The sequence below is a fragment of the Homo sapiens genome, chromosome 1 (genome assembly GCF_000001405.40).
Source record: "Homo sapiens chromosome 1, GRCh38.p14 Primary Assembly".
NCBI lineage: Eukaryota > Metazoa > Chordata > Mammalia > Primates > Hominidae > Homo > Homo sapiens.
The window spans coordinates 95,979,793-95,993,660 of NC_000001.11; the positions used below are offsets into that span (position 1 = coordinate 95,979,793).

The window sequence follows — 13,868 nt, forward strand, 5'->3', positions numbered from 1 at the left end:
TGAATTAATTTTATGTATTCTGTGAGTTAACGGTCAAAGATTTGGGGTTTTTTTGTTTTTTATGTTGGTGATTCCTCCTCTCCTTCTCTCCCCCCTCCTGCCACAACCCTCTTCCCTTTCTTTCTCCTCCTTATCTTCTTTTTCTTTTCCTTCTTCTGCATACAGATGTTGAAATGTTCCAATACCATTTGTGGCAAAGATTATTCATTCCTTATTGGATTACTTTTTCATGTAATTTAAAAAATCAATTGGCATTATATGTGTGAATTTGCTACTCTTATTACAATTACATTGGTCAGTATGTCTACTTTTACATTCATATTAAAGTGTCTTGATTGCTTTAGCTTTATAATAAGTATTCAAATCAGATAGTGTAAGGTACTCTGACTTTGTATTTTTTCTCCAAGATGTTTAGTCCTTTACCTATTCATAAATTTTAGAATTAAAAATTCATCAATATCTATCAAATATCATGGTATGATTTTGATTAGGATTCCATTAAAACTATAGATCAATTAGAGATAATCATCATCTTAAAATAATGAGTCTTCTGATACATTAATGTAATCCATCTATTTCTCTATTATTTTATATTGTCTTTAATTTCTCTCAGCATTCTTTTGTAGTTTTCAGTGTATAGGTTTTGATAATTTAAGTTTATCTCTAAGCACTTCTTAGATTTTGTTGCTTATATAAATGACCCTTAAAAAATGGTTTCCAATTGTTTGTTGTCTATATGTAAAAATACAATAGACTTTCACATATGGTCCTGTATCTCGTGACCTTACTTAACTCCTTTTATATTTCTAATAGCTTCTCCCTGTGACTTCTTATGATTTTTCTACAGAGCCAATCAGTTATTTGCAAAGAGAAAGAGTTTTACTTCTTCCTTTTTAAAAATCTGTATGTTTTTTGTTTTGATACTGGTAATTTGTCTCTTCTTTTCTTTTTCCATGATTATTCTAGCTAGTAGTTTTTCAGCTTTATTGATCTTGTTGAATAACTGTTTTTTGGTGGTATACATTTTTCTCTGTATTGTTCTGCATTCTATTTCTTTGATATGTTTATTATTTTCTTCTTTCTGCTTAGAGTGGGTTTAATTTTCTTTTTCTTGTTTCTTTTACTTTTTTTTTTTTATAATTTTAACTTTTATTTTAGATTCAGGGGTACATGTGCAGGTTTGTTATCTCAGAATATTGTGTGAGTTTTCTTGTTTCTTAAAGTGAAAACTTATATCATCGATTTGAGAAGTTTCTTCCTTTCTTATATAAGATTTTAATAATAGGAATTTTTCTCTTATCGTCAACCTGCATCTCCCCAATTTTTATGTTGCAATTTTATTTTCATTTAGTTAAAAATATTTTCCAATTTCCCTAGTGATTAAAGTCTTGAGTAATTTGGAAGTGTGTTATTTAATTTTCACATGTGTTTGTTGAGAGGATAGACTTTGTATAATTGGGTTTTTTTTATATTTATTGATACTTATTTTATGGAGTTAGAATATAGTCTATTTTGGTGAATGTTCCATGCAAACTTGAATGAATGGTATTCTACTGTAGTTAGATGGGAAGCTCCATAAATGTCAATAGATCATGTTTATTGACAGTGCTGCCCAAATTGTTTCAGCTACCAAGATAAGATGTTGAAGGCCCCTGCTGTAACTTTGGATTTGTCTTATTATTGTTTTTAGTTCTGTTAGTGTCCGTTTTGTGTATTTTTAAGTTCTATTATTAGGTGTATACTAATTTAGAATATTTATGCCCTCTTGATGAGTTATTCATCTCCTTATCTTTATGAAATGTCCCTCTTTGTCCCTGGCTCTGAAGTCCACTTTTTCTAGATTAAATGGTTACTCCAGCTTTCTTCTAATTCCTGTTTGCATTAATGTTTATATAGATGTTTCACTTCTATTTACAAGCAAACTTATTTATATTTCCATGTGACTGCAATACAGTATAATGGTAAAGACCTATGGACTCAGAGGCCAGCCTAGTAAACATGAGTGTTTGAAATAAAAAAGATAAAAACAAATTAAACTTTATTAAAGTTCATACTGACGTTACTACTTATAATTGCTTCAAAACAGAAGAAGATAATACACATTATTCTTTTACAAGTTTGTTTAAAAAAGAAATCTTTTCTCATTAAGTAATCAGTAAATTACATTCTTCTTAAGACATGCCCTACAGAGGAGTACTACGATTCTTCTCATTTTAGTACTTGAGACACAAGATGTCCTTTTATATATGCTTACACTCTTAAAGCTTAGCTAATATAAGTGTAAAAGTCTTCTTCCTTAAATAGCAAAAAGTAGTACAAATAAGGAATTCTACTTGGGCTTTTGTGGGTATAAGAAGTATCAAATAGAAAAAACATTATTTCATTATCAAAATAATTCACAGACATTTAAGACCTCAGTTTTACCTGGGTGATTTACAGTTCAACTATAGAGAAGCAACAGTAACATTCTGTCTGTAAGAACGCATGTACCACAGAAAGGGGTTTCGTTGTTCTCTGCTTTCTCTCCAGTGTATACAAACATACTTGGTATGTTTCTGTTGAATGGATGAATCCAAGATTTATGTGTGCCAAATGCGATGCTAGGCAATAGGGAAGAGTGAGATATCTATATATATATCTATATCTATCTATCATCCATCTATCTATCTATCATCTATCTATCTATCTATCTATCTATCTATCTATCTATCTATCCATCTATCTGTTTTTCTATCTATAGTTTGCCATCAAGGAGCTCATATTCTAGTAATGAGGATGTATAACAAGGAGCTTATATTCTAGTAATGAGAATGTGTAACTGGTGGAGGGGGGCAACAAATTGAAGCAAGAGATGGTAAGTGGTTTGAAAGAAAATTTTTTAATTTAACAAGAAGAGAAGTGTCAAAGATGGGTGGTGAAGCATATTAAAAACTAGTTTGGTGAAGGAAATTCTCTCCTTTAATAAATGCAACATCTGAGCAGAAATATCTGGAGGAAGAGAGGGTAGTCCCCATCAGCTTGCTCAGGAAGGAGCCTTCTAAGTAGAAACAGTGACACATTGGACAGGCTGTGATGTACAGGTGCATTTAGCAGGTTCCACAAATAACAAGGAGCCTGTGTGACTGGATCCAGTGGTAGGAAATGAGTCAGAGACACAGTGAGGGCTTTTTTGGCCTTAGTTAATAATTTTTTTATTCTGAATGAGATGGGAAGCCATTAGAGGTTTTTGAACAGAGGACAGAGATGATCTGACAAAAGTAGTGATACTATCTGATTTAGTTTTTGTGGAGCCTCAATTTCCAGGTATGTTAATTTTAGAATTCAGGTTTTCAAAAATACTTAACAATCTTACTTTTGAAAACATCAAGAAATTTATTACCATCTAACCACATTGCTTAGACTTGGGGCCCTCTTAGAGCCTTGGGAATGAACTGTTAGGAGAAGAACATAGAAGTTTAAGCTTCATTAGTTTCACAATAAATCTGCCTCTGAATCTCACTAGTTCTAACAGGTTCACTCTCTTGAAGTTTTAAGAATAATTTGTAGGGGTCGGGGGTGTCAAGGGTAGAAGCAAGGAATTCCATTTGGAAACCATTGCAATAATCTAGGCAAGAAATGATGGTGGCTCAAGCCAGATGAACATGGTAGCAGTGGATGTGATGAGAAGTGGATGGATGCTGAATATATATGAAAGGGAGAGATGAGAGGATTTGCCGATGGATTGAATACAGAATATGGAAGAAGGGAATGTCAAGCATCACAGTGAGGTTTGGGCCTGAGTAGTTAGAAAATGTACAGAGTGGCCAGATTGTGATAGATCTGCAGGACCCTGGGATGAACCTTAACGAACAGGCAAAGAATCCAATTTTTAAAAAGAAGTTTGTTTGTGTGGCATGGAGGAAACAAAAAGACTGAATTAAAACAGGTTCTTGACTCCCCGCCACCCTTTTTTCATTTTAGTGTCCCCATCCCCTTCATTTAAGATGGAAATCTTATTTAAAACTAAAATGCTGATGATGTCTCTCTTCCAATTATTAATTGAGAAAGAAAATCATATTCTTTTTTTTTCTATGCCTTGTATTTGGAGAAACACTGCTGCCCACTGCAGTGGCCAGCACTGTCTGGTCAGTATTTGTTGGTGCACTGTAGACTATAGGAATTTCAAGCCTATACACCAGAAGGTAGCTATTAACAATCTAGGAATCACTGAGGCAAGTGCTGATTGTGACAGCCATGCATCACTCTGCATATTAATCTGTCACTGTTTCCCAGGAACTGGAGATTTCTTTTTTTTTTTTTTCAAGAGGATGTCTTTGAAAGCTCCCCAGTTTTCTAAGAGTTATTTCCATGATGGCATTTGTTTCAGTCAGAATAAAGAAGCCACTTCTCAGGCCTCCAGAAGTGTTCATTGCACTCTCTGGTAGGTCCAAAGCTACATCCAACTTTATATGTTATTCTTTAATAACAACTTTTCATCTCATAAGAGTGAAACACAGAAAGGCTCACTAGTATCAATGACCAGGTAATTGCAGCATCAGGAGCTCTCTGTTTTACATGAGGCTCTGGCTTTGAGAATACTTGATAGTTAGCAAATTTGCTTTTGCTAGAAAAAAAATCAAAGTGATTCATAAAATTAAATTTGGAGGGGTCATGAAGAGAGGCCAACGAGGTTTTGATTCCCTGTTTTCCCTCTCTCAGGTATATTAGCAAAGATTGTTGATGAAAAGTGAACACTTAAACCTAAAAGGAAATTTAACATGAAGCTGTCTTAGGTGCAAAGCCACAATGGCTGAATAATATCTAGTGAAGTCATAAGTCTTTGAATGTAGTTTTCTTTATTAAGAAGAATAAAATATTTTCCCCAAGAATGTAGGTCTGTCATGAATACTTTATTTTGTGGTGCATTTAGGTCACACCAGAAATTACTGCTTTATTCTAAAAATGAAAACCAAATGAATCTCAGCTGGCCATTTGTGTAAGAAGAAAACAAAGCATCATTGTTTTATCCTTTTAATGGAGAGCTCCCCACCATCAATTTGTCTGCCGACTACATGAAGTTGTTTATTACTTGTAAGCTTCTGAGAGCAGATGAGTAAAAGTAAGATTTGATAACTCAGCTTTATGTCTACCAATCTACCTTGGCTGGACAGAGGAAAATGGAGTTTTATAGGATTTTCCATGGGCTGCTACTGACTGGAGTCACTTAGGAGTACATTCTGACCTGTAATAATTTATGAAATTTATTGCTACTTAAGTTTGTCTGGACAATTTCTGGCTGTTAGAAGGGTAAATAATTTATTTGAAGATGATAGCAAGGTCATATTAAATACTTCATCAGAAGAAAAGCAGTTGCAATTACATCATGCTCTCTGACCAAATGGCACACTCCTGTCAGTGAGGCAGAGGGCTCTTCCAGAGTGGGGCTGCAGAACTGCAGCAGATTAGTGTAAGTGATGCAATTTGAGTTGAGTGGACCAAGTTATGCCATTAACCAGATGATATCAATGACAGCCTTCCTCTGATGGTCAGCATTAGCTTGAAATTGTCTGTTGGGAGAAATTAGACTTGCCCTGAATCACAATTCAGCCTACCCCATTGACATTGCTTAGGCTAAACTTGCAATGTGTATGGTGAGGAACAAAGCCTGGAAGGGAATGAATAAAAAAACCCATAGCAAACTGTTGGAAGTTTCCTTCTGACAGGCAGAAAACCAACTGAGAATCAGAATCAAGGTTTCTGTCAGCTTGGAGGTGAGGCAGGAACTGCTTTGGAGATTGTGAGCATGATGGGGTACTAGCCTCTTTAAAATGAAAAGTGGAAAGCCGTAGTTAGGGAGGCAGGTGCAGTCTTTAGCAGCCCCCCAGACCCCCAAACAATTATAAGCTGATTACAGCAAATGTTGGTGATGGTAGGCTTTATTTCTTTTGAAGATAGCTACATCTTTTGACATATCTTAAATCATGAGAAGAGTTTATGTCCTAGCACATTTTTTTTTCTGTATCTCAGTAGTTCTGTAATGCCAGCTCTAGATATAAAAACACTTATGGCTCAGTAAAAGCAAGATTTACTTTTACTAATAAGGTGCAGATTATTCTCCTGATTCATAGACACAATTTCATATGTTCTGTTTGAACTTTTTACTTTTATTAAAGTTATATGCTAAGATATAGTTTTCATCATATTAATCATAACCCTTTCTTACACTGCACTTAATGTAACATCACATATTTAGAAGAGTAAAATCCTAGAAACTACAAAAATCACGTAATTTGAATCTAACTTCACTATTATATTATACTGACATTATATCAAGCATAAGTTTTAGTTTAAACTAAAATCAGTAAAATTCTGTCTTTAACTTCTAGAAATAATTTATTTATTAGTGATTGAAACAAATGTTTTTACATCTGATCAAGAAATATAGCCACAAATAATTGGTTAATCCTGCTTGAAACTATACTGTTACTTAATATGTATAATTAAATTCATATGCATTTAAATTCATTTGTTAAGCAAGCATTTGTTGAGTTTCTACTATGTGCTTGGCACTCTGCTTAGGCACTGAAGCATTATATATACGTGTGTGTGTGTATATATGTATATATATATTTCTTGGAGTGATTATTGTGTGTGTGTGTGTGTGTGTATGTATATATATATACATATATATACATATACACACACACACACACACACACAATAATCACTCCAAGAAATATACAGTTTATTATAGGGCTATAAGATTTGAGCATAATTAGTTTCAAGGCAAGGTAGAAAGTGACATCTTTTAAGCAAGTATAGGTAAATTGAAATGAAAATCCGGGAGAGAATTTTGCAATGAGGAAAAGCTTCATAGGAGATGTAACTTTGAGTTGGACTTTGAAGGATGGATAAAAGCAAATCCATTCCAGGCAAAGGAACAACATGAGCAAAGGCACAGGGGTGGGATATTACACAAAAAAGGGGAACTCAGGCTGACTCTATTACTTGACTTCTGTTCTTTAAAAGCACTCTTTCTGGTCAAGCGTGGTGGCTCACGCCTGTAATCTCAGCACTTTGGGAGACCAAGGCAGGTGGATCACTTGAGCCCAGGAGTTTGAGACCAGCCTAGGGATCCCATCTCTATCAAAACAAGCAAACAAACAAACAAACAAAAAGAAACACACTCTTCCTTCCTTCCACAGTTCTTACAAAATTAGAATAAAGATGGCTTGTATCTCATCAACTGGCTCTCAGTTGGGTAAGTTGGTCAAATCAGAGATAACTGGGTTCAGAATTACTAAGGATTTTTTTGCATATGCATTTAATATGCAATAAAAGGCTTTCTTTGACATTAACATTTTGCATAACAAGAACTACCACCACTAACAACAAATGCAATTTTTGTAACGAATTAGAAAAAATAAATTGAAGCTATGAGCATTTGTGTTCCCACAAAGAAGGCAAAAGTGACCAATGATAAAAATCCATAAAGACAAGTTAGTGATATAAAATGTGAGCAATAACTAGATAGTATCCAATTAAAAGATGTTTAAAAGCCAAAGGGAAATCTGACTACCTAAGATGAGGGAATGGAGTTAATTGCTTCACCAGCCAGATCTCATCAAAGAGTCTCAAAGAAAGATGTTTGTGTAACATCAGTATAATGCAGAGCATTAAATGTTGATAGGGTACACGTCATTGCTTTTGCTTATCAAAAAATGCCCTGAATTAGAGACAAAGTTGATAGGTATGTCTGTCCATAATATCCTAGCTTAAGTTAGAAAATCTGATTTTAAATTTCTCTCCCATTTCTGTTATTGCTTTCCTCTTACACATCCCTTTCTGCTCCTCTGTCTTACCTCCCTCACCTCGAATATCCAAACTTCTAGGTCTTCACTATCACAGAGGAAATTAGGTAAAGGACTATATCACAACTGTTGCATTTTGCTTGTGTAATAATAACTGTCCAAACACAGAAATATATTGGTGTTTTTTGAACGTTAACCGTTAATGAAGCAGCTATTTATCCATAGATAGTCCTCACAGGTATGCCTTGCCCATTTGATGGCTGAGGCCAATCTTCCTAATGGGTGGCAATAATTTTTAGAATGACTTGAGCACAGGTAAAACACGAATCAAGTAGAATTTTTCTTCAACATCATCTGCAAGGAAAATTCTGTATGTCCCATAGGAAAAAGGCACTATTGGTCCTACACCTTATTCCTTTGAGGCTTTCATCAATAATAGCTTTCTCTAGGAAAACACAAATGAGAGTTATTTCAACTCCACAAGTGCAGCATCTCATTGGGTTTAAATCTTCCAAGTATAAAAATCTTTTCCTTGGAGTAGTTTCTGAGCGACATCAGTAGCCTACAAGGGTAGAATTGCCCCAGCAGAGATGATAACAACATCATTGTTACTGATGATGACACACTATCCCAGCCCCCGTGCAGTTGGAGCTGTCACTCCTGTTTCAATTCAACGATCTTTTGATAAAATATTTGTGTCATTCCTATGGATATTTCAACTTTTTTTTTTTTTTAATTGAGACAGAGTCTCGTTCTGTCACCCAGGCTGGAATGAAATGGTGCGATCTCAGCTCACTGCAACCTATGCTGCCCAGGCTCAAGTGATTCTTGTGCCTCAGCCTCCCGAGTAGCTGGGACTACAGGTGCGTGCCTGCAGGTTAATTTTTTTGTATTTTTATTAGAGACAGGGTTTCACCATATTGGCCAGGCTGGTCTCCAACTCCTGACCGCAGGTGATCCACCCGCCTCGGCCTCCCAAAGTACTGGCATTACAGGCGTGAGCCACCGTGCCCGGCCTCAACTTTGAAATTAAAGTTTTGGCATTAGGCTTAGTTAGAATGTGTAGGACACTTATTTTATATATGATTAAAGAGAAGTAAAATAGGAAGGGAATGGAGCTGACCCCATATCAGTCAATTGTGTCCTTGTTCAGGGTGAAAACCTGGGTTCATCACCACTTATTAGCTGCTGACAATCAGTAAGAAGGGCTGCTGTGAGGATTAAATTAGATAATGCACATTAGAAATTAACGTATCTAGCACATAGTAGGCATTCAATAAATGAAGCTTTATTGCAATGTTCTTTTACATTTTGTAAATTATTTGTGTACATATATATATATACACGCACACACGACTGAACTGAGAAACAGAACCAATAGCATAGATATAGACAGAAATATATATAGATACAAACAGATATAGATAGAAAGAGAAATAGATAATCTAAATCTATTTATATCTATCTATATCTTTCTCTCAATCTGTATCTATCCTATTGGCTCTGGAGAACCAAGGTTTCTCTGGAGAATCTTGACTAATATATCTAAGGACTCTATAGGGGTTTATGGACCCTTCTCCCCCAACCCCCCACTTGAAATCCTCTGGAGAAGAGATTTTGAAAATAACTTGATTTCATTGCTTCCATGTAAAACTTTGCATCTCTCACAGAATGATTTTATCATTCTTGTAGTGGTGGCTTAGCAGGAGCTAGAAGCCCATTCAATGTTAAAGTACAAAGTAAACACTTCCTGTAGATATTGAAATAAATGTTTTCCATTTTACTCTAATTCAATTCTGGGGTAGTTAGAAAGTCAGTGATGCTCTTGGAAGAATTTCATGACAAGCATCAAAATCCCTTGACTCGCTGGTTTGGAAAAGTTTTTCTGGGCGCAGCCGCCTAAGGTCCATGGCTGTCAGGAGAATTATAGTGTGTTGACTTTAACCATCTCAGATGTGTACTTGAGAAGGTTTTGCCAGAGTCTTGGAAGGAAGTCTAGGTAAAGGAAATATAAAAATGAAGTATTTCTCATCAGGCACACACATTTTAAAAATTGTCTGAATTTTTTATTGTTTTAAAGTGTTATATGGCTTTCTATGGATATCAGGAAGAAATATTTATAAATCCTTAGAAACAACTTTGCATTTCTAAAAGCTTCAATAATAAAGGAATAGAAAGAATTTAAAAGTTGTGAATTATGTGAATTAACTATAGATAAAATTGCTGAACACTCGCACCTACAAGTTACCATCTCCCATCATATTTGAGCGAATCATTGGCAAGAACCACACAATCTCCAGCGCAGGGATTTTACTCAGAAGGAACTGTTGTCACCACCCAGGTAAATGATAAATAAATGACTTATTGGTAAGACGTATTGTAAGATGATTTTTACAGTTCTTTGGAAGGACTATTCTACTGAAACTCATTATGCAGAAAAGAGCAGTCTTACAAAAAGCGCTTTGGTCCAAGAGAAGAGAATCTGTCCCATATGCACCATCTTTCACTCATTGTCTATCATTGCCCCTGACTTACTTCATGACCAGTTTGTGACGGTTTCTTATCTTCAAAGTGGAGATAATACTTGTCTTTTCTCACAGGAACATTGTGAAGATAAATGAGATAAATCATTTGAAGTGCTTTGGGCTCCACTGATGATAAGTGCTATGTTATTTCAAAGCATTATTATTTACTTCACAAGTGACTTGTCACCATTCCTAATCTGTGTAAAGCACTTTGAATTCCTTAGAGAAAAAGGTGATATTGAGTGAAATTTTAATACAAGTGGATAAATATGCACCACATAGAATCTGTTCTGTTAGAGGCCCCATTTCTATTGTAAGGAGAAAATAACACATGTTGTAGCACACTAGATAAGAAGAAATGTCAGGAAATACTTGTGCTTCTCAACTAGCTTTCTCATGAGCCCTCCCAAACTAGCCCAAGAAATGGACTTATATTAGTGACACATTACATTAATGTGAATACTTGACTTAAATCACACTGGTCCTTAAAACTTCCCATCTTATCTTACTATTCTATATAAAAATAATTGACTTGTCAAACAATTACTGAGCATTTACTATTTATTTGCCACTGGACTAGATTCTGGAGATACAAAAATGGCCAAAGTAAGAAAAAGACAATGAAATTACATATAAAGAAAAGTAGAACATGGTAATCTAATTGGTTAAATTAGAAACACCAGTGTGACATTAGGACCTTAAAATAATATATTATTTAAAGCTTGGCACTACTAAAGCTCTCCAATAGTAGAAATAGCAGTAGTATTAGAACTTCACCCATTTCCAATTTTCAGGAAACCCCTAGGATAAAGATTTTAGTCTCTCATACTGCTCTCCACTACAGAAAATCAGGACTGTTTGGTTTTCTGTGTAGCTAATTCCACACCTTACATCAGGAGAAAAATAGAATGGGCCCGGAAATTTTACTTTTGCCACAGGAATACTTTCAAGGGTAACAGAGGCAGTTATAAAGAAAAAAACCAAAATCTAAAGAAGTTCCTGGGCCAGGCATGGTGGCTCATGCCTATAATCCCAACGCTTTGGGGGTCCTAGGCGGGCAGATCACTTGAGGTCAGGAGCTCGAGACCAGCTTGGCCAACATGGTGAAACCCTGTCTTTACTAAAAATACAAAACGTAGTTGGGTGTGGCGGTGCACACTTGTAGTCCCAGCTACTTGGGAGGCTGAGGCAGGAGAATCACTTGAGCCTGGGAGGTGGTGGTTGCAGTAAACTAAGATGGCGCCATGGCACTCCAGCCTGGGTGACAGAGTGAAACTCCGTCTCAAAATAAAATATAATAAATAAATAAATAAATAGTAAAGAGGTTCCAGATAGCCAGGTTGAAATAGTTTGACCATGTAGTAAAAATCATAGCAATAATACAGTTAATTGGAACACATTAGATTTATAAAAAACCAAAAATTCTTATTGATATTCAGATTTGATATATGTTTTATTTAATCCAGTCCTTCAACCTTTATTTATTAAGTGTCTACTTTGGGCGATCACTAGAGCTGGCATTCTAGTGGAGGGAAAAAAATGAATAAATAAGCAAAATCTTGTATCTCAATGGTGCTGAGTACTACAGAAAGAAATAAATGAGGAAGGTAGGCAATAAATGCCAGAGAGAAGCTGTGAAGAAGAGAAAGAGAACCAGGAGTTTCTTTGGGTAAAGGGTAGTATAAAGAATAAAGAATGTTGGAGATGAGGTCAGATATTTCCAGGAAATAGAATTGTGTAGAGGTTTTGTTTTTTGTTGTTGTTTGTTTGTTTTGCCAGTGGAGAGAGTTTGGCTTTTCCCCGGGTGAAATAAACAGCCATTTGCAGCTATGGGGACAATGGATTGCAGGTGGGGCAACAGTAGCAGTGAGATCACAATGTGGGAGTCCACTGCAATAATCCAGGAGAGAAATCATGTGAGCTTGAGAAGGAATCAGATTCTGCATATATTTCCAAGTTAACATGAACAAGATTTTCTGAAAGACTGCTATGGAGTCTGAGAAAAAATGTCAAAGGTAGTGCCAAAATTGTCACTTAAAGAACTGCAGGAATGGAGTTGGCATTTACAGAATTTGGAAGAGAAGCAGGTTTAGTGATAAAGACCAGAAGCACAGAGCTAAGCATATTAAATGTGAGTTGTCTATTAGGCATTCAAGAAGACATATAGAGTGGGCAGTGGCTATATGAGGCTAGAGTTCTGGGAAGGCTGGGCTGATGACAGAAATGTATTAGTCATTAACATTTATGTGTGTGTGTACACATATGCACATGAACACTGGATATGCGAATGCACAGATTGAGGACATGAAGAGGAAAGAACTGACAGAGGAGGTGAAGAAAGGTGATCAGGAAGAGCCATCAAAGTGTTATCCTGGAATTCAAGTGAAGACAGTGTTTCAAAGGTAATTAAAATAAAAAAGAAGGTTGCAAAACGGTAAGAGGTATACAGTTTTTACAGATGTTAATAAACAAACTGTTGGCATATCATTTGGGATTTTTACATTTATTGTATCCTGGTTTACCAAGTTTATCTGGGTAAACTCAAGTCATTCTGGAAAATGTAGCCACATACCAAGAATAGGAAGGAATGGTGAACAGCGATAGTCACTCATAAGAACCATATTTAAACCAGCTCCAGCTATTTATAACATATGTGGCTACACATAAAATCTCAGTGGAAAGAATGCTCCACACTATTTCAAAATTTCGATCAGTTAGTCAAAGAACTAACGATGAGAGTTAGAGTGCAGCTTCACTCCTTTATTTCCTAGGAGATGAAAATACTGGTTGGATCTTTTGAATTACAATAAAAATAATAATGAAGAGTTAATAATATTGAACCAGGTTACTGCATTGCAAAGACGATTCAATGTGTTAAGTATGGCAGGCTATTTAAAACTTGATTTATTGGAAAGATAATAATTTATGGAGATAAAAATACATGTGAGAAAGAGGGGGCATTAAAATATAAAACAAGGAAAACATTATTGTTGAAAAGGACTCAGCCAAATTATATGACACTGTGGTTTAATTCCCTTGTACCGGGGCCTGAGAGAAGATCTTCAGTAACTGTTTGATAACCTTGATTCTGTAACATCTGCTGTTCTGAGAAGAAGGGAATCTAGAAAGATCAATAACATTCCAGAACGAAATCAATATAATACTTTCTGAAACCACGGGAAAATATCAAAATAAGCATTAAAGTAATTTGAGAATGTACAAAATCTGGTATAGAAATAAGGAATAATTAAAGTAAGTCTATGGAGTTGATTCTTTTAGACAAGAAGTTAAATGTTAATGTTATAAATTTTGTATTATTGCATTTGTGTATACCTTTATTGTTGTTTAAATTGTTTAGAAATTTATAATTGCCATGTACATTATTTGAGAGAAATTAGTCAAAATAACTGATATTTGAATCTTTAAAAAAATGAGTTTTCATAGTTTTATCTTTTAGATGTGAGTTTCAATATATTGAACATTAAATGACAAAGGGAACACTCATATTTTCCTTCCCTGTAAAACCTCCTTGAACACTGAATAATTAAAGACA

The 13,868-nt window shown here is 35.2% G+C and overlaps 1 long non-coding RNA gene across 1 annotated transcript in view; it reads left to right on the top strand.

Moving 5' to 3' along the window:
• The first annotated feature begins 12,275 nt into the window (after window positions 1-12,275).
• The window catches only part of LINC02790 (long intergenic non-protein coding RNA 2790), a 30,813-nt gene continuing 29,220 nt past the window's right edge, over window positions 12,276-13,868 (top strand). Inside the window, exons 1-2 of the long non-coding RNA NR_125991.1 lie at window positions 12,276-12,330; window positions 12,611-12,717. This is a non-coding gene — a long non-coding RNA (long intergenic non-protein coding RNA 2790). The remainder of the gene's footprint in view (window positions 12,331-12,610; window positions 12,718-13,868) is intronic.